This window comes from Homo sapiens, chromosome 11 (assembly GCF_000001405.40).
Source record: "Homo sapiens chromosome 11, GRCh38.p14 Primary Assembly".
NCBI lineage: Eukaryota > Metazoa > Chordata > Mammalia > Primates > Hominidae > Homo > Homo sapiens.
This window is the reverse complement of record NC_000011.10, coordinates 10497623-10518219: the sequence shown is the minus strand read 5'-3', so window position 1 is coordinate 10518219 and position 20597 is coordinate 10497623. Positions and strand designations below refer to the sequence as shown.

The 20597-nt window shown below is 42.7% G+C and overlaps 2 protein-coding genes, 1 non-coding gene and 1 pseudogene across 7 annotated transcripts in view, besides 3 other annotated features; 3 read left to right on the top strand and 1 right to left on the bottom strand.

Moving 5' to 3' along the window:
- RNF141 (ring finger protein 141) overlaps positions 1 to 6547 on the top strand; it is a 29515-nt gene extending 22968 nt beyond the window's left edge. Inside the window, exon 6 of the mRNA NM_016422.4 lies at positions 3154 to 6547. Within this exon, the coding sequence (NP_057506.2) occupies positions 3154 to 3304 (151 nt within the window). The 3' untranslated portion in view covers positions 3305 to 6547. The remainder of the gene's footprint in view (positions 1 to 3153) is intronic.
- Positions 6331 to 7241: an enhancer, noted in NCBI's record as "OCT4-NANOG hESC enhancer chr11:10532526-10533436 (GRCh37/hg19 assembly coordinates)". NCBI's record gives its function as "activates a minimal SCP1, AML or CMV promoter by ChIP-STARR-seq in naive and primed H9 embryonic stem cells {active_cell/tissue: H9 hESC(naive and primed)}" and the evidence as "EXISTENCE:reporter gene assay evidence [ECO:0000049][PMID:30033119]".
- Positions 8804 to 9098: a silencer, noted in NCBI's record as "tiled region #11145; HepG2 Repressive DNase matched - State 9:DNaseU, and K562 Repressive DNase unmatched - State 11:FaireW". NCBI's record gives its function as "represses a minimal TATA promoter and a strong SV40 promoter by Sharpr-MPRA in HepG2 and K562 cells {active_cell/tissue: HepG2 | K562}" and the evidence as "EXISTENCE:reporter gene assay evidence [ECO:0000049][PMID:27701403]".
- MTRNR2L8 (MT-RNR2 like 8 (pseudogene)) lies at positions 9044 to 10333 on the top strand (annotated as a pseudogene).
- On the top strand, positions 9894 to 9950 carry MIR4485 (microRNA 4485). Its single transcript, NR_039705.1, has one exon. It is a non-coding gene; the product is annotated as a microRNA 4485 (primary transcript).
- The window catches only part of AMPD3 (adenosine monophosphate deaminase 3), a 57192-nt gene continuing 47235 nt past the window's right edge, over positions 10641 to 20597 (bottom strand). For all 5 annotated transcript variants that reach the window (NM_001172431.2, NM_000480.3, NM_001025389.2 and 2 more), the window contains 5 exons: positions 17971 to 18134; positions 16630 to 16750; positions 15326 to 15499; positions 13561 to 13671; positions 10641 to 12512 (listed from right to left, as the gene is read on the bottom strand). In NM_001172431.2, the coding sequence (NP_001165902.1) occupies positions 12336 to 12512; positions 13561 to 13671; positions 15326 to 15499; positions 16630 to 16750; positions 17971 to 18134 (747 nt within the window). In that variant the 3' untranslated portion in view covers positions 10641 to 12335. The remainder of the gene's footprint in view (positions 12513 to 13560; positions 13672 to 15325; positions 15500 to 16629; positions 16751 to 17970; positions 18135 to 20597) is intronic.
- Positions 17558 to 18151: an enhancer, noted in NCBI's record as "H3K27ac-H3K4me1 hESC enhancer chr11:10521616-10522209 (GRCh37/hg19 assembly coordinates)". NCBI's record gives its function as "activates a minimal SCP1, AML or CMV promoter by ChIP-STARR-seq in primed H9 embryonic stem cells {active_cell/tissue: H9 hESC(primed)}" and the evidence as "EXISTENCE:reporter gene assay evidence [ECO:0000049][PMID:30033119]".

Here is a 20597-nt window from a genome sequence, read left to right as displayed (position 1 = left end):
TATGGTATGTGTGTGTTTAACTTTTTAAAAAGCTGCCAGCTATTTTCCAAAGCAGTCTTGTGCCATTTTACACCCCCACTAGCAGCATATGAGATTGCATTGAATAAATATATCAATTTAGGGAGAGTGAATTTCTTACTAGTGCATCTTCCTATCCACATACGCTGTATATTTCTCCACTTATTTAGGTCTTCTTTAATTTCTGTCACCAATTTTTTTAGTTTTCAGTGTTGCATATCTTTGACATCTATCCCCAAGTATTTCATAGTTTTATGCTATTTTAAATGGTATTTAAAATTTCAATTTATGATTGATACTAGTATATGGAAATACAATAGATATTTGTATATCAACCTTGTATCCTGCGCCCTTATTAAACTCATGTATCAGTTCTGGTAGTATTTTTGTAGATTCCATAGGCTCTTCTTGAATGTCCGAATATCATTTTTCAAAGACTTTTTTTCTGATTCAGAATTCTAGACTTGAGAGTATTTTTTCTTTCAGTATGTTAATAATGTTGCTTCACACTCATCTTGTTTGCATTGTTTCTAATGAGAACTCTGTCATCCTTTTTTCCTCTGTAGGTAATGTGCCATTTTTTCCCTCTGTTTTTAAGGTTGTTTTCTTTTCACTGGTTTTGAGCACTTTGATTATGATGTGCCTTAGAGTAGTTTTTTCATGTTTCTTGTGCTTGGGGTTTATTGAGCTTCTTGGATTTGTTGATTTACGGTGTCATCAAATTTGGAAATTTTTCAGCCATTATTTTTTCAGATTTTTTTCTATCTTCTCTCCCCTCTCCTGTGATTCCAATTACCATGTATTAGCCCACTTGAAGTTGTCTCACAGCTCACTGGTGCTATTTTTTTCTTTCTTTTTTGAGTCTTTCTCTGGGTTTCATCCTGGATAGTTACTATTGCTATCTCTTTTCATATTCACCATTTTTCTTCAATGTCTAACTTGCCATTAATTCTATCCAGTGTATTTTTTTAACCTCAGATAATTTTCATTTCTAGAAGTTTGATTTGGGTTTTTATTATCTTTCATGTCTCTTCTTACTATCTTTGAGCTTTCCTCTAGTTTTTTAACTATATAGAATATAGCTATAATAACTTTCCATTTTATCTGCTAATTCTAATATCTGTGTTAGTTCTGGGTGGTTATGATTGATTTTTCTCTTTATTATAGATTATATTTTTCTGCTGCTTTTTTGTATGTCTGGTAGTTCTCAACTGGATGCCAGACTTTGTGGCAGACTTTGTGAATTTTACCTTTTTGGGTATTGGATATTTTTGTATTCCTATGAATATTCTTGAGCTTTTTTTCTGGACTATAGTTAAGTGACTTGGAAACAGTTTGATTCTTTTGGATCTTGCTTTTGTGATTTGTTAGGCAGGACCAGAGCAGTATTTAGTTTAGAACTAATTATGTCCCACTAATAGCAAGACCCTTTAGAGAACTCTACTGATACCCCAAGAGTTATGAGGTTTTCCAGTCTGGCTGGTGAAACAGGCAGTATCCCAGGCCCAGTGAGCTTTAGGGGACTATCCCCTCAAAGCCCTTTGATTGATTGTTCAGCCTCGGTAGTGTCTTCACATGCACACACTGATCAGCACTCTGCTGAGTATTCTGGCGGGGACACTTCCGTAGACCTCTGGAATTTTCCCTCTGTGCAGCTTTCCATTACCCTGCCCTGTAAACCCTAGCTGTTTGGCCCCCCAAGATTCTCAGCTCTGTGTGTTCAGCTCAGGGAGTTTGCCATGTTCCATCAAGCTTCCCGCTTCTTGATCAGGGGCTAGAAACTCTCGAGGCTGTAAGCTGAGGCAAGTATAGGTCTCACCTTCTTTGACTCCCATGTCCCAGGGATCACTGTCCTTTGTTGTCTGATGGCCAGTGCTTTATTTGAAAGATTGTATGAAACCATTGTTTTAGTAATTTTAGGTGGGAAGATAAATCTAGCCTCTGTTGGTTGGAAACAGAAGTTGACTATTTTTAAATTGTGATGTTTTGTGCACAGAAGAGCATACATATAATTATCTTGTAAAATACCTCTGAAGAACTAGAAATCAACCTAAATAATATATGCCAGCTGTAGCTTTCACATTTAGTTTTTGGAACAGAGTTCTAAATTTTTGCATAAAAGCCAAAGAGCAGTTGATACAAATAATTACTTTGGTCCCAGATTTCACTGAGAGATGAAAAGAAAAACATTTTTCTCTGCATAATATGTCTCTGGCTCAAATACGGTATTTTTTAAATTACCAAAATAATGTTTGACCAGAAAAAAATCCTTTTCGAAAACATAATCTTATTTAAGTGATCATATATGAGTTCTTCCCCTGCCAGAAAAATTACTGTGCATGTAAAGTTTATCTTTTAACTTTGTATGCTCCATTTTTATATAAGTCTTCCTGTTGCTTATGAGCCATAGGAATTTTTTCAGACCTTTAAGCAAGCAACAGGTAGATATATTGTTGAAAGTCATGTAGATATTTCTTAGAAAAATAATTAATAATATCCTTTCTTCTTGTCATATTCCCCTGCCACTGCCAAGAAGTTATTCCTAGAGTAATGGCTTCCATTTAAATAATCACGAATAAGCATTTATACTTGACACTTTGACCAAATCTTCCATTGATGCGAGGGAATTTCCTCTTGGGACTCAGAAGGAATTTTTATTATAAAGGAATACTTTACCTGTTTAGGTATGGGGATGCGAATTGCTGCATTGTTGGTAGCAACAAAAGATGGGAAAAAAAACTAAATGTCCTTCTGCAGGAGACTAGTTAAACAAATTATGGCATAGCGATACAGTGTATGTTAAAAAGAATAAACAGCTCTAACAGGTGCTGATACATACTAGTCTGTAAGATATATTGACAAGTGGAGAAATGTGTGTGTGCACGTGCGTGCATGTGTGTACACATAAGCTTAATCCAGCTTAGTCTATCTCTGGAGGAATATATAAGAAACTGGTAACTGTGGTTGCCCCTGGGAAAGAGAATTGAAGATTGAGATAGGAGGGAGGGATTTATTTTTCACTATATATTTCTATGCTATTTCCTTTTTAAAAGCCATGTGCATGTATTACTTTAAATAAAATCCTGTTTTTAAAAAAGAAGAAAGCAAACTGTTTTGTTTTGACTTCTCTAATAGGAGTGATCGACACAGGAATTGCCCTATTTGTCGCCTACAGATGACTGGAGCAAATGAATCTTGGGTGGTATCAGATGCACCCACTGAAGATGATATGGCTAACTATATTCTTAACATGGCTGATGAGGCAGGCCAGCCCCACAGGCCATGACCTTGAAGTGAAAGTCTTCTGTTGCTATTGTGGGCTCAAATATTTGGTCATGGGGGAAGAATGTAGGGTTGTGGCACTGGCACAGACACAGGAAAATCCATTTTCCCCACTCTTTTATTTTTGCTATTCTGATCATTTGTCCCCCTTTTAAAAATAAACTTCCCATGTCTTCCATTTGTGGTACTAAAATTTGCTACTGTTTTAGACCATATTTTCCTATTATTTATCTGTTCAAATTTGTATTATTACAACTAATAGCTCTTGAATTCTTTGCTAAAGGTAACAGCAACACTTCCAGAGGCTTCTAAAACACTACTGTTTTGCAGGGCAGGAGTATTCTGGAATCTTTTTACTTAGATATAAAATAAACCTCGAATATTAAAAAGTTGTAGCCATCTGAGAGAGGAAAGTTTAAGTGACTGAAAATGTAGAATACTTCAACGTGCATGTTACTACTTAAAACTAGTCTTTCTGCTGGAATCTAAGGAGTATATATATATATGCCCCCTTGTGGTTAATTATTGCTCCTTTAATAATTTTTACTTGAAATGATCCACAATTATTTCATAACTTTAGCAGTGTGTTTTGGAACTACTGTACTTAAAGGTTTGTTTGTTTGTTTTTGCCATACTGTATAATTTGGGTGAGGTCTACAAAATTGGGTGTGACTTTCCTTTGCAAATGGATTTCTCCTGGGGAATTTTCTTGGCTGTTCTGGAAATGCTTTCCCACAGCTGGGTAACTGTTCTAAATGGCTTTGATAATGCTCACACATCTTGGAGTTTCAGAAGGAAATTATTCTGCATCACAAATACTAAATTTTATATTTCTAAATTACTATAGGTCATTTAATATTGGTTTATGGTGCTTTTATTTCCTTAACTTGAAAACATCTTTCTGAGATTTCAGAGTCCTCAAATTTCTTAGATTAAGAGACAAGAGGCCAGTGCAGTGGTTCACACCTGTAATCCCAGCACTTTGGGAGGCCGAGGTGGGTGGATCATTTGAGGTTAGGAGTTTGAGACCAGCCTGGCCAACATGGCGAAATCCTCTCTCTACTAAAATACAAAAATTAGCTGGGCATGGTGGCAGGTGCCTGTAATCTCAGCTACTCGGGAGGCTGAGGCAGAATTGCTTGAACCCAGGAGGTGGAGGTTGCAGTGAGCCGAGATCACACCACTGCACTCCAGCCTGGGAGACAGAACGAGACTCCTAATCAAAAAAAAAACACAAGAAAATAGAGTGAGGCTTTTTTACCGTATATACATAAAATACTTATGAAAATTAGAAGATAATTTGGCATTCCTACTGTTTCACTGTACTTCCATTGAAATACTCTTTCCATTAAAATATTCTGAAACAATATAGTAATAATGGAATTGTGATCTTCAGTTGCACCTCAACCATTTTTTTTGCTTATGAACTAAAATTTCTAACATTAACATTTCGGCATGTAATAAAACAAGGGCCTATCTCCTTTAAAATTTAACATTCCATGTAACTTTTCTGACTTATCATTCATAAGTTGCAAATATTACTATTTTCCTAAACCAGGGTACACAATTTAAGTTGCCACTTATTGATGACAGAATTTCTGGATAGTAGGATTTTAATAGGCGAGCAAATAAAATTCAAATCAATTTCAAGGAAAAACATCTGGCCAGGGGTAGCTTGATTTCGCCCCCAAAAATACTGAAGACTAATCCATTGACATTCATAATGGGACAGCTAAGTACCAAATAGCTAACTACTCCCTATGGAGGTTTATGCAAGCAGAGTACCAGGGGTTCCATCATATCAACCTGGCAATGCACTTGGTGGTTGTGTGACCTTGAGAAAGTCTCTTACTCTTGTTTATGTGTTCTTACTTTAGAAACTGAGACTTTATTTGTGGTTTTCACACTATTTCAGCAGCAAAAACTTTTTCAAGGAAAATCTTACAGAACCTTTAAACACGTGTGCATACACACATACCCTATACCCCACTATATAAAAGTCATATTATTATAAATTTCCTTATTATATAAACTTTATATACTATAAATGTGATTAAGTCAATGAATAAAAACATTAATGCATTGGTGATATCCAGCATGTTTGAATTTGGTGAGTAACACACATATAGTGGGAGTCGTTTTTTTTAAAAAAATTTTTTAATTAAATTCAAGTCAAATTTGCAGAACCCTGTATCTCCTCCATAGATTCTTAGTATTCCATGGAACATATTTTGAAAACCTTGGGATAGATGATCCACTGAAATCTTTTCCAGCTCTAAGATTTTAAATTGTCCTTTTAGATTAGACTTGCTGAGTTTAATTCAGATTACCTAATTTTAAAATGTTTCTGAAAAGTGAACAGAGTTACCTTACAGAGTTTTGGATCTTTCCAGGGATAGCCAATGATTTTATCCCCCAGAATCCTTCACCTTTCAAGGAGTTATTTAACAATGAGCCCAGTGACTCAATAGGGCCCAAACCTTTTTATTTTACAATATGAGCTCCAAGACACTTACTGATCTACTGTGAATATAAAATGTTATTAGCCTTATCAAATAAATAAATGAGCACAGCTCTTTGTTCGCTCTATTGAACTGGGTGATAATTATTTAGATGTGAATGTTAGGTCAGTTCTACTGTAATAACTAATCGTAAAAGTTGTAAATTTGTTTAATGGATGAAATGTACACTTTTTGTATTCTGTACAGCTTTGTCTTTTTTAAATATGAAGTACTTAAATGTACTTACTATGATAGGAAATATAATGTGTGCCTTCTAGGATTTGTGAAGTGGTTTCATGAACTCTAAGGAATTTGTTTTCCCTATCCTAACTCAGTAACAGAGGGTTTACTCCGATTATGTATAGAACCTTAGTTTGAGAAAATGAATTTTACTATGTACTGAATTTAGAGGTTGAGAATAATAGGATCTGTGTTATTCTTAGTACCCACTGATAAATTGTGCAATAAATAATCTTTCGCAAGTGATTTTAGCTAATTGAAGAGATTATTTTCCTATGTAATTTCACATTCTAATATACTAAATGTTTATATTCCTTAGAGAACTATTTTATATTGTGCGCTGGGGGCTTGTGATGTTTGTGTGCTGTTTTAAAATTCATTTCAAATTGGACTCGATTTCCTTATATCTAATATATATCTGGGAGAAAAGGCTGCTTGAAAATATCTTTTGATTCAGTGATTTTTAACATTGGGAAGTTGAGTTTATTAAAAGGTAGTCTGAAGAATTTGCATTTTTAACTGCTATTGTCTGAAGTCAAGCTTAGTCTATCCGGGAATAAGAAAACTACTTGCAGATGAGGGAAGTTAACAGGTCACTCACATTCATGCTGGGCCACACAATGACGATACAATACAAACCTAAGCAGCTGACAACAGACTCATTTGTTCGTATGTCTATTCACCCTGCTGTAGCAGTCCTCAACCTTTTTGGCACCAGGGACTGCATTCATGGAAGACCATTTTTCCACAGACCAGGGTTGGGGTGGGAATAGTTTCGGGATGAAATTTTTCCACCTCAGATCATCAGGCATTAGTTAGATTCTCATAAGGTGCATGCAACCTAGATCCCTCGTATGCGCAGTTCACAGTAGAGTTCATGCTCCTTGAGAATCTAATACCGCTGCTGATCTGACAGGAGGTGGAGCTCAGGCAATAATACTCACTCGCCCGCGGCTCAACTCCTGCTGTGCGGCCTGGTTCCTAACAGGCAGCAGACCAGTACTGTCCACAGCCCAGGGGTTGTGGACCCCTACCCCAACAGACAGCAAAAATAAAATGCTCAACCCTATTGTAGTTTGTTTACCTTGTAAAATCATTTCCAAAATATAAGAATGTAATTAGAGAAACATCGTAGAATCTTAGTGCTGAAAAGTGCAAGGACATAAGAATGAGTGGCAGTTGGTAGTTAAATTGACTGTATCATCATACTGTGGAGAAATGCACATTTTACTGTCAAAATACATAAAAGCCTTTGCAGAGATAGGTTTTGACACGCTTGCAGCTGTTTATAGTCTTACTCTCTGTCATCTTCTATCTTACTAATTGCAAAAATTTCCAAGGAACTGTTTATCTGGTTAGTATTCCCCTAGTTACACTTGTTCTTTATAATGATCATAGTTCAGGCAGAGTATTTGGGTATATCACCTTCAGTCATGTCTCAAACGCAGGAAATGAAGAATATTGTTTCACCAACACTCAGAAGTAAAGAGAAAGCAAGAGAAAAGTGCTTTCGGCTCTTGTTTAATCCAAGAGGCCGTGAAAAATCACAACCCAGGAGCTGTGATTTGTTTTCACGAGGCAAAGAGCAATGATGTCGATCGGTTTCAGCGGTACAATTTGAAGTAACACATAAAGTGAACTTGAGCCCTTAAGGATAAAGAAGGGATAACTGCCTCAAAAACTGTTGCTTTAGAAACCTAAGCCAGTATACAATTAATTGCCTCTTATTCCAGTTGCAAACACAAAGGAAAGTAGGGATTTGTCCCCCAAAAGGCCAATTAAGTATAGCAATGTAATAAAAGCACAAAGTGCTATAGAAAAGATGTCAGAAAAGCTTGCAGGACACCGCTGCTAGCCCCATACCCCGAGCCAACCAAACCCCAAAGACACCCCATACAGTTTATGTAGCTTACTTCCCCAAAGCAATACACTGAAAATGTTTCGACGGGCTCATATCACCCCATAAACAAATAGGTTTGGTCCTAGCCTTTCTATTAGCTCTTAGTAGGATTACACATGCAAGCATCCCCGCCCCAGTGAGTCACCCTCTAAATCACCACGATCAAAAGGAACAGGTATCAAGCACGCAGCAACGCAGCTCAAAACGCTTAGCCTAGCCACACCTCCACGGGAGACAGCAGTGATAAACCTTTAGCAATAAACCAAAGTTTAACTAAGCCATACTAACCCCAGGGTTGGTCAATTTCGTGCCAGCCACCGCGGTCACACGATTAACCCAAGTCAATAGAAACCGGCATAAAGAGTGTTTTAGATCAATTCCCCTCAATAAAGCTAAAATTCATGTGAGTTGTAAAAAACTCCAGTTGATACAAAATAAACTACGAAAGTGGCTTTAATGCATCTGAACACAGAATAACTAAGACCCAAACTGGGATTAGATACCCCACTATGCTTAGCCCTAAACTTCAACAGTTAAATTAACAAAACTGCTCGCCAGAACACTACGAGCCACAGCTTAAAACTCAAAGGACCTGGCGGTGCTTCATATCCCTCTAGAGGAGCCTGTTCTGTAATCGATAAACCCCGATCAACCTCACCACCTCTTGCTCAGCCTATATACCGCCACCTTCAGCAAACCCTGACGAAGGCCGCAAAGTAAGCGCAAGTACCCACGTAAAGACGTTAGGTCAAGGTGTAGCCCATGAGGTGGCAAGAAATGGGCTACATTTTCTACTTCAGAAAACTACGATAACCCTGATGAAATTTAAGGGTCGAAGGTGGATTTAGCAGTAAACTAAGAGTAGAGTGCTTAGTTGAACAGGGCCCTGAAGCGCGTACACACCGCCCGTCACCCTCCTCAAGTATACTTCAAAGGACACTTAACTAAAACCCCTACGCATTTATATAGAGGAGATAAGTCGTAACATGGTAAGTGTACTGGAAAGTGCACTTGGACGAACCAGAGTGTAGCTTAACACAAAGCACCCAACTTACACTTAGGAGATTTCAACTCAACTTGACCGCTCTGAGCCAAACCTAGCCCCAAACCCATTCCACCTTACTACCGAACAGCTTTAACCAAATCATTTACCCAAATAAAGTATAGGCGATAGAAATTGTAAATCGGCGCAATAGATATAGTACCGCAAGGGAAAGATGAAAAATTGCAACCAAGCATAATACAGCAAGGACTAATCCCTGTACCTTCTGCATAATGAATTAACTAGAAATAACTTTGCAAAGAGAACCAAAGCTAAGACCCCCGAAACCAGACGAGCTACCTAAGAACAGCTAAAAGAGCACACCCGTCTATGTAGCAAAATAGTGGGAAGATTCGTAGGTAGAGGCGACAAACCTACCGAGTCTGGTGATAGCTGGTTGTCCAAGACAGAATCTTAGTTCAACTTTAAATTTACCCACAGAACCCTCCAAATCCCCCTGTAAATTTAACTGTTAGTCCAAAGAGGAACAGCTCTTTGGACACTAGGAAAAAACCTTGTAAAGAGAGTAAAAAATTTAATACCCACAGTAGGCCTAAAAGCAGCCACCAATTAAGAAAGCGTTCAAGCTCGACACCTGTCATCTAAAAAATCCCAAACACATAACTGAACTCCTTGCACCCAATTGGACCAATCTATTACCCTATAGAAGAGCTAATGTTAGTATAAGTAACATGAAAACATTCTCCTCCGCATAAGCCTACATCAGACCAAAATATTAAACTGACAATTAACAGCCCAATATCTATAACCAACCAACAAGCCATTATTACCCCCACTGTTAACCCAACACAGGCATGCCCACAAGGAAAGGTTAAAAAAAGTAAAAGGAACTCGGCAAATCTTACCCCGCCTGTTTACCAAAAACATCACCTCTAGCATTCTCAGTATTAGAGGCACCGCCTGCCCAGTGACATGCGTTTAACGGCCGCGGTACCCTAACTGTGCAAAGGTAGCATAATCACTTGTTCCTTAAATAGGGACTTGTATGAATGGCTCCACGAGGGTTCAGCTGTCTCTTACTTTCAACCAGTGAAATTGACCTGCCCGTGAAGAGGCGGGCATAGTATAACAAGACGAGAAGACCCTATGGAGCTTTAATTCATTAACGCAAACAACACTTAACAAGTCCACAGGCCCTAAACTATCAAACCTGCGTGAAAAATTTCGGTTGGGGCGACCTCGGAGCACAATCCGACCTCCGAGCAACACATGCCGAGACTTCACCAGTCAAAGCGAATTACCACGTTTAATTGATCCAATAACTTGACCAACGGAACAAGTTACCCTAGGGATAACAGCGCAATCCTATTCTAGAGTCCATATCAACAAGGTGTTAGCTGGACAGACTAAAATAATACCCCGGGAAAAGGAAAGGAACATGTATAGCTTTGCTCATGAACTATAACAGGGTAGAAGTTAGAGAAAATAACAAAGGAAGATTTATCTTCTGGGTCTGGTGAGCTTCAGTTTGAAAATTTTGAGTTTTCCTAGTGAATGTCATTCATGTCGGAGTCTTAGTAAAAGATAAATTAGCTATTATTATTGATAGCTTTTCATGGTGCCCAATCTTAAGAGTAAAAATCTTTAACATTTGCTTTAAATATGATTATCTTTAAATAGTTTTAAACTATTGAGCCACAGTCCTAGCTGACTTTATTTAACAATTTAAAAAAAGATACTTGATACAGATAAAATGACAATGAGAAACTACACAATACTTCCTATGTTAGGGCAAATGTATATAAACGGGGGCTTTTCAAAACTAATCCCTAAGATAACAATGGATTTTCATTCAATTTCATAATTAGCTGTAAGATAGCATATATATCTGCCTAGTAAAAAGACTGCATTTATACTTCCATATGCTGAATTGACCAGTGGAGGGGACAGGCATTATAAAGTCACAAGATGAGACAATCTAAAGTCAAATAAGTTCACAGGCAGAAACTGGATTCTTCTTCTAACTATAATGATTCAAAAAGACCTCCTGTAGTCTGAATTTGACCACAGAAATAGATAGGAAGGTCCTTGAGCAGCCTCTTAAGTACTAAGAGCACATGTCCTTAAAAAGTTGCCAAAAGAAATTCACTTAGTTATTCAATATGCATTTATTGAGCACCTACTACATACCAGGCACTAGTAACACAGATAAAGAGTACACTGATAAAGCTTAATTCAGATTAATCTTTAAAAATGCTTTCTACTTGGCCCCTGGGACCATTGTATCTTCTGAAGTCATCATAGTAGATAAGGGAGAAATTTTGCCTTAAAAAAATGCATCCGGTTACAGTGATTAAAAACACACACACACACACACACAACTAACATTTGTGGGGTCTAATGGAATAGTGGGGAAAAGACAGGATTTGGAATAAGGAAATCCAGTTTAGGCCTATTACTTATTAGCTGTGTGCCCTTAAGTTAAATTTCACTTATCTGGCCTAACTCTTAATTGGTAAAGTGATAATTGGCCTACAGTTGTAGCATATTAGAGCCAAAAGGAACAGAGATCATCTAGTCCTGTGCTTTTTGAAGTTCTTCGTTCAAATGAAAATATTATGTAGCAGCCCCAGTGTAAAACTGATGAACGCAGTCACTTTGACAGCCCCTGAGCATCACTCACTCCCTTCCCTCCCCTACCCTAAAGTATTCATGAGGAGATTCACAGAACACCCTGAAAGCCACTCATCTAGTCCAAACCCTCACTTTCTAGGTGAAGAAACCAAGACTCAGAATAGGAGTGGCTGTTTTCATGAGTACATTTGGCTTCCAACTAGAAAGAGGGAAGGAGGGCTAAATAAAACGGTTTAAGAAATTCACTAAAAACACAATTTGTCAAGAAGGAAGTCTTCCATCTTAACTCCTTCAAAGTAGCCCCTTTATGAAATGGAGCTTTGAAATTGATTGTGTTTAAGGCAGCCAGCCATCCAGAGGCTGAAATGAACAACTACCAATTAGCCTACCTGGGCCAATGGAGAAAAGTATGGCAGAAAACCACATGTTACTTGGCATCTGACCAGGGAAAATCCTGGCCCCAACAGTTCAGGCACTGGCAGTTTCAAGAGAAATACTTGGAAAATTAGGAACAAGTATAGACAAGTGCTCAGCTCCCAGATCCCCAAGGAGAAGTCACCATCTTGTTACTCAGAAATACTAACAAGTGAGCATGTTAACTCTTAAAGTGAGCAGTGCAACCAAAATCACCAGTTTAAAATTTCTTCAGAGGCATCCTCTTCACAGAGGAAAGTCCTAGTTCGGAATCTTGACCACTATTAGCCACAGCAGACTTGAAATTGAACCAAAAAGTTAAAATGCATGTCAAATGCTGGACCTAGTTGGTCAAGGCGGTGATCTCTTCTGATTTCATAGCATCAGACAGGAAGCTGAGCTCATTGCATAAGGTCTCATATCGGAATGCCATCCGGATCTGAGCCACATTTGTCTTTCGAATATCATTTCCTTCAGGTCCTTCTTTATAATAATTTTGTCCCAGAAACTTTTGCTTTTCCTGTGGACCAAGAGAAATACAAATGAAACTATATACTTTTGATTCACTTTCTATAGCCATGTGGGCAGCTTTGACATCAGTCACAGCAAGTCAGACTAGTCCCCCTGAAGCAGATCTTTGGTCAGGACATCTTATCCCCACAGAACTCTTAAAATTCCTGCTGGCCTCTGTGTCCTCAAGGATGTCACCCTGACAACCTCAGTCATCCTCAGACAGCCCTTCATTCCTGGCTGTGCTTTCCTTGATCAGAGAGGAAAGATAAGGTCTGCAGCAGCTGCTGGGGATGGGAAAGGCAAAGGGGAAGGAGGTAAGACTCTAATTAAGAAGCCCCTGAGAGCTGACAAGGACAATGTTCCTGGGGAGGGCCAATCCAAGGCACCACACTGCGCATGAAAAGAATCTTAAGCCTTTAACTCTGCTGCATCATCATCCGACGAGCACAGCCCCTAATGCAACCTCTTCCCAACCAGTGACATCACCCAGGGAGGTGTCGGGGGACCTAACGTACATCAGAACATGGGTCTCAGTGCCAGCTCCTCATCAGGCTTTTTAAAAAATGACAGATGTCTGAGTCCCATAGTCTAGATTTTTATTCAGTCTAGATACTGTTCATCTATTCAAGAAATATTGAGCGCCTGCTATGTGCCAGGGACTATCTAGGGCCCGGGGATATAATTCTGAACAAACCTCTGCCCTCACAGAGCTTACATGCTAGAGGGAAAGACAGAAAAACACATAACTAAACATCAGCAGGAATAAATGGTATGGAGAAAAACTGATTAAGGGGATAGAGAATAATAGCAAGTGTGTGGCTATTTTAGAATGGGCGATCAGGGAAGGCCTCTCCAAGGAGGCGTAGAGGTCTGAGAAGGGTGAGGAAGCAGCCATGAAAACACAGGAGGCTGCCGCGTCTTCTCTCCCTGTGCCTGAGTGTCTCAGAGGCCCTGCCTGCTATGTTCATCACAGATCCCCAGTGCCTGGAAGGCTCCTGGCACACAGCAGGCAGCCTTCCCAGGAGGGACACAGGCAGCACCGTCACACTCCATACCTGATGCGAGAGGCCGCTCTGCAGCACGCTGTTCCTGGCGATCTCACACAGGTCGCAGGTGCTCAGCTTCCACACTTGAGCTGCAATGGCATATTCTTCCATAAGTGCTTCCTAGATCCTCCCCCAAAGCATGTGGATTAGAAGGGGGGATATCCATGTCAATCGTTCACACATGTCCAAAGCTAACAACATCAGACACTGCGGGTTTAACTTTTCCTCACTAAATGGCACCTGGATCATCAAACATCACACCTTCAAAGCCTAAGATCTTTTCTTCTGTAAAATCATGGGTTATCAAAGAGAGATCTAAAATCACGCCTCTACATTTATTCATTGACCAGCACTGAGACCTCATGTTGAAACCCTGTGCCAGTCATCAGGGATGGCAGTCTCTGCTCTCCTGTGACAAGCCCTCTAGTCATGCCACATTTAGCACTTGCCCTCTAGCTTTTCTTTTTAACACACTATTTTCTTAAGTTTGCAATAGATAGATAGATGATAGATAGATAAATAGATAGATAGATAGATAGATAGATAGATAGATGAGTAAAGTACTAAAAGCAGAGATGGAACATCAAAAAAAAAATGAGAAGTGATCATAGGATAAGTGGTAAAATGGTGTAATCCCAGAATGATCTGGGTTTGAGCTGTGGTTTTGCTTCCCTTCTGGGATGTGAAGTGTCTATTCATCACAAGCCGTCTGTGACCTCTTCCCCACCCCACTGCCGCTGTAGCCTAGAGCAATAGTTCTCGAAGTACAGGTCAAGGACCCCTGAGGGTCCTAAGACCTTTTGAAAGGTCTTGTCTTTTCCAATTATGTATTTTCATGAGGCAAGATTTCTATTTTTACATATTTTGATTAAAAACAAATTGAATGCAGAAGTGGCTAGAAGAGTCCTGCTGACTTCCATTAAGACATTAAAGAGGCTTAAAAATGCAAAACAAAGGCAGGGGAAACTGTTACTTTTCAGAAAAAAAATCATTATTATGTAACATTTCATTGGTTTATTGATGTGGTTTTTAAATGAGATAATAAATATTTTAAAATTTCTTATTCATTTCTAACATGGTAAATATCAGTAGATATAACCCACATAAACAACAGGTCTTTGAAAGCTTCAATTCTTAAGAGTATAAAGGGGTCCAGAGACCAAGAGGTTGGAGAACCTCTGTCCTAAAAGACTCTGGTGCTTCTGTTTTTGTTAAGCAATGGCTGGTCTTGTCGACACCATCAAAACATGCTGGGTATACTTGCGGCTAGTCCCCATGCATGACACCACTGTTAGCTTCCTCTTTTATTTTCCCAGAGACCCAAAGTGTAGAAATTATAATAGCATTGATTTAAAAAGTAGCAACCATTTTGAATATATGCAGACACTATGTTAGAACCTTTGATTCATTATCTTCATGAATCCTTACAGGGTAGGGACAGAGAAAATTTTATCTCCATTTTACAGATGAAGAAGAACTTGATCCAGAAATCTAATAACTTTACCAAGGTCACAGAGCTCATAAATGTCAAAGAAAGAGAAAATAGAGGAAGGCAAAGATACTAAATTGTGCCTTTGAGGGTTCAAGAACCCCAAAGAAAGGGCTCCTGGATGGCACAATTTTCCCCCAACAGTGGCTTCCTTCCTGCCTTCACTGGGCCACCAACCCCACCCCAAAAGCAGAACTAAGCCATGGGCTCAGGTTCCTGAAATGGGAGGACAGGCTAGGACTGGTGCCTACTGAAGCACTACTGTCCTCACCCCAAAGTCCTTACCTTCGTGTAGTGGAACTGCATGGGGTCATCGGTGGAAAGAGAAACATGCAGTCCCTTGTGTAGGAATTCCCTCAGAGGGTTCTTGGAATATTCGAGGAACAAACTGTTGTTGCTAAGAGGAGACATGGCAATGGGGATCTGAGCAAGGTAGTAGAGATACTGCAATACCGGACTCTGCAAAAGAACCACCGAACTCATGTGACAAGTGCCAGAGAGGGGAGAAGGGAAAAGGGAAGGGAGAAAGGAAGGGAAGAAGCATTCACCAGTGGAAACCAGGGGTCTGAACCATGTCTGCCCAAGTCCTCAACCCGAGTTCCTCGAAGCCAGGACACTCAGACCCACTCTCCCCTTCCCCACTGTTCATCTCATTCCTACATTGCATGCCAGCCCTCCCTGGTGCCTCTACCCACTGTTGGAAGTGCTCATTCTTGCTCCAAACTGGAGGCAAGGCTCAGGGCAGGAAGGGCAGCCCACTCCAGCCTACACCTTCAGCTCCTTTCTCCTAGGCACGGACCCAGTCTAGAAGATGCCCCCCTCTAGCTGTTTTATTGCTTTGACTGCAAACAGCCAGGTTGAGACTATAAACACTCCAGCTCCTGGGAGATGATCCCTGAAGGGATGGGAGGGGTGGACCTGCCCAGGATAGAGTGGTTTTCTACTGTAGCACCCACCCCACCCAAAAATGTGACCCATGGTTACACCTCACCGGGATCAGGGAAAGGGAGCATTTTGATCAAACATCGTGCCAATGGAAAGTGATCCAAAATACGGAGAAGACTGTATGCACAGAGCTCAAGGGTACACCAGTGAAAAGGTGGATGGACTCTGTGCCCAACTAGTGTGGACTGGTTGAGTCAATTACAGACAAAGTGGCAGACCCTTCATCCAACAACAGCCTTTGGAAAAAGGAGCATAGATATTACGTTGCAGCATCAAAAAATGCTTGTCATACAACAGTAAGGGACGAGGCAGGAACCAAATTCTGTGTTCATTATGATAATAAACACATTAAAAATATGCTGTGGATAAAAGATGGAAATTAGATATACTAAAAAGCTAATAATGGCTATTTCTATTAATGTAATAGCATAAGGGCTGGCTTTTTTCCATTTCTCCAGTTTTTGGAAAATCAAAATTGTGATGAGTTTGATTATATTACTTTCATAATTAAAAATAAAACCAAGATAAGGACAGACATCCCAGCCCAGAAGAGGGCCCAGCCTTCTGGCCTCACTGGTTGAGCCTCCCAGGAGCCCAGGGCAGGGCAGTCACTCAGGACGGGCTCCCGAGAGTGACCTGGTTACCTTCTTGAGGAGCAGCCCGTGGGAAATGTTGTCAGCAGTGAGGAAGGCAGACACCAGGTGGGTGATGGAGCCGGCTTCCCCACAGTGCGGCCGGAACAGGAACGTGCTCAGGCCGCGCTCCCTGTAAGAGAAGGGGTTTCCGAATCAGGAAGGCCCCCCCCAGTTGGCTCTGCCTGGGGCCTGCAGCCACAGCTCAGGGCCAGCTCCGGGGGGAATGACCACCCATGGTCAGCTGTGCTGACCCAGTGCACCCTGGAAACTACCCCTCCTAAAATGCAGAGGTCCAGGCCCTGGGGCCCCTTAGAACCAAGAAGCATCACCTCTACGGGCAGAGAGTGGGCCTCGCAGTAGAAAGAGACCCTGCTGTGCCCTCCAGCCACTCTCCTGAATTCCTCTCCTGGCCTTGTGTCCCGCATTCGTAGAACTCCAGAGCAGGGAAGGCCATGAGAAACCACAGAGTCTGACCTCTGTGTTATGGAAATGGGCAAACCAAGGCCCGGAGAGTGAAGTCTATGTTCCATGCCACTGAACAGGTCAGTAGCAAAGCCAGAACCAGAGCCCCCATCTCCAAAAGCTCAGCCCAGGACTGCCTCCACCCTGCCAGGCCATTTCTTTCAATCAGGACCCCATTCGAAACCTCCACACCCACCAACTAGCACCAGTTTAGGCTGAGCTAGAGAGACCCCAGGGCCCAGCAGGGGAAAGTGGGATGCAAGACTTGTAGGGAAGGGAATGGCTCAGTGTCCTGCTGCCCTGGGCAGCTAACTCCTGGCCACGTGTGCCTCGTCTGTGTGCGTATTGGTAGGAGCCTCTGCCTGTAAGGGCATGCATGGATTTAGTCTGTTTTGTTCCCCGTTATTTGTCCAGTGCCCAGGGCAATGCCTATCGCATGCCAGATGCAGTGATTTGCTGAACGAAAATATGCACGTGTGGACATTGTTGGTGTGGCAGTAAGTGACCGTGCATGTGTGATAGCATGTCCTATGCTTCCATTATCTCAGGGATGTACAGGTACACGTGGAGTGTGCCCTGGTGTGTGTACATATAAATGTGTGGACACGTGTGGACTGTGGCTGCATTGCATACTGTACATGACATATGTCTGTACTGGCATGTGTGTTATGGTGGGCATGTTTGCATGTGTGTGATCATGTGGAGACATGCCTCATATAGCAGGCTGGAAAGTGCTGTGTGTTTTGAGGTGTGTGGGCACATGGACATGCATGTTGGTTCAGGTGCACACGGACACAAGGATCACATGCATGTGTGTGTGCATGTGTGTGCATGCGTGCATGTACTAACACATGAACCCAAGCATGTGCGAGGGCAGGCCTCACGCACCTGCGGAGGTTGTTGAGCACCATGATGTTGGCATACATGTAGTACAGGTAGTAGCTGTAGGGTGGGTTCTGCTCACTGGTCCAGACGTCCGGGTTTGGGCTCTTGTCGGAAAACATGTGGTCGCTGTGCTTGGACTCATCATCCACGCTGTCAAACCCCGTCACCTGGGCAGGAGAGGTCCTGAGCACCAGGCCAAGGCAGGACCAGGACTCAGCCTCGGTTCAGCCTCCCAGAGCTCATAGCTGCCAGAGGCCTGTGGGTCTGGGCCCCTCAGGTTCACACCTCAGCTGGGGACCCCTTGGCCTGCCTGAGGCCATATTCCTCCCAGGGATGAAAAGTGGGTACAACACCAAGGTCTGCCCCTTCGGAGCTTCCATAGGTACTCTGGAGGTGAGACAGGAGAGTGCCAAGCCCCTGTGTGGTGGTGGTGACAGTGGAGGAAACTGCCAAGCCAGGTGAAGGGCAAAGCAGCCATGGCCACCACCTGCCCCTCTGCTATGCCGAGGCCAGCCTGCAGGGAGGAGTGGCCATTGCCATCAGCAGCAGCGACAAGCGATGAGGGAAAAGGGTCCTAGTACACATCACTCATCAAGCCCTGCTCAAAGCACTTTACTCACGTCAGTTAATTCATATTCAGAGCAACCCAGGAGGGAGGGGTTGGCTGCCAGCCCCATTTTACAATTGAGCAAACCAGGGCCAAAGCAATTAAGAAAGTTGCTCAAGAAACCAGGTTTGGCCAGACATGATGGCTCATGCCTGTAATCCTAGCACTTTGGGAGGAGGAGACGGGCAGATCACGAGGTCAGGAGTTCGAGGCCAGCCTGCCCAACATGGTGAAACTCCGTCTCTAGTAAAAAAAAATACAAAAATTAGCTGGGCATGGTGGCGTGCACCTGTAATCTCAGCTACTCAGGAGGCTAAGGCAGAAGAATCACTTGAACCCCGGAGGTGGAGGTTGCAGTGAGCCGAGATCGCACCAGCCTGGGTGACAGAGCAAGACTCCATCTAAAAAAAACAAAAAACAAACAAACAAAAAAAACAGGTTCTGGGCTCTGGGTCTGCACTCTTTGGGGCGGTAGGTAGAGAATACTCTAGGGCATGTCCAGGTGTGGCCAGGAGAAACCCGCCAGCTGCCTCACAGACAGATAAGAGGGTCCTTGCTGGGCTAAGCCATGGCTCCTGGGAGGCAGCTCTGCTCTCCAATCCCCACTGGGAGCTGCCCTCTGAGATGGGCCTGAGTAGCCTCAGGAAACCCCCACCCTTCCACTGCAGTTCTACCTTGGCTGGGACCCCTGGGGGGCTGCTCCTGAGTCACTGGAGCCTTCTGGCTGATCCCAGGGGTCATCCCCAACCAAGAACACATGCATGGAGGGTACGGGCTCTCAGCGCACAGGGGAGGCTTGCTACCAGGCCACGGCAGTGCTTTGCAAAGGGGCCTCTGAATAGCAGATGGGAGAAAGAGACTGTCCCCCTTAATCCACAACTGGCCCAAACTGGAGGGCTCCCAGCCCACGCCCCAGACCCCAGCCAGGTCTGCTGGCCTCTCCTGTTCCTATGGGGGCAGCAAAGGCCCAGAGGAGCAAGGCAGCTTGGCCAGAATCTTCCGTGTCACAGAGCCCTGTGTGTCAAAGGAAATGACAGGGTCCCTGCTATGACCCTAAGCACTCCCTAGACGGGTTTGGGGGGCCAGGGAGGACCTTGAGCTCTGCTCTGTGCTCACTAGCTCCATACTTCACCCGAACTTTCTGGGGCCTGGCATGCGGATAATTTCAGCCCCTCTTCAGAGCTCTATCCAGCTGAAGCAGGGCCTCACCACTGCATCTCCCACAGCCTCGGGTGCAAAATGCGTTGTCTCCTCCTCCTGCTCTTCCTCCTCCTCCCCATACCTGCTCTTCCTCCATTGCTGGCAGCAACCTTCGGACAGCACATCATCCATGCTCCTGCAAAGCCAGGCACCTGGGAGGCATCCTAGACTCCCCCCAGTGCCTCCTTCAGTCTCTGTCCAGGTCCTGCCAGGTGTACGCCCACCGCTTCTCACCAAGCCCCACACTTTGTGCAGAGTCCCTGCGCTGCCACACCTCAGAGACGCAAGCTGGTAGCTGCTGTGCACCTTACTATTCTCACTTGGGAGGCAACATAGAATAGGGGTTCAGGGTACATCGCTGGAGTCAGCCTGCCTGGAAACGCATTCCAGCTCTGCCACTTTTAGCTTTATGATCTGTTTTAATTTCCTTGTGTGTCAATTGAAGCTAGCAGCTTCACAGGGCTTTGGTGAGGATTAAATGAGATAATCCAGGGAGAGCACTCAACACCGTGTCCAACACGCACCAAGCACATAATAATTCCGCTTACTGTTAACAACAAAATGGTGATAGTAACGGGGTAATTGTGAGGCTTAGGTGAGATCACGTTGTGGCGTCTGACCAGGCCAGGCAGAAGCACGCACGAGTGTGAGCTATTTCCGCTGGGTCAAGCTCCCCTCCTGTCTCCAGGCAGGCCCCTGACTCTCACCCCTGCCCCCACCTCCAGCTACCTTCTCTTCTGGGCCAACTCCACACAACAGCCAGAATATGTTTGTCTAAAACATAAATTTGATGATGTCCCTCAGCTTGTCCAGTCACTTTCTG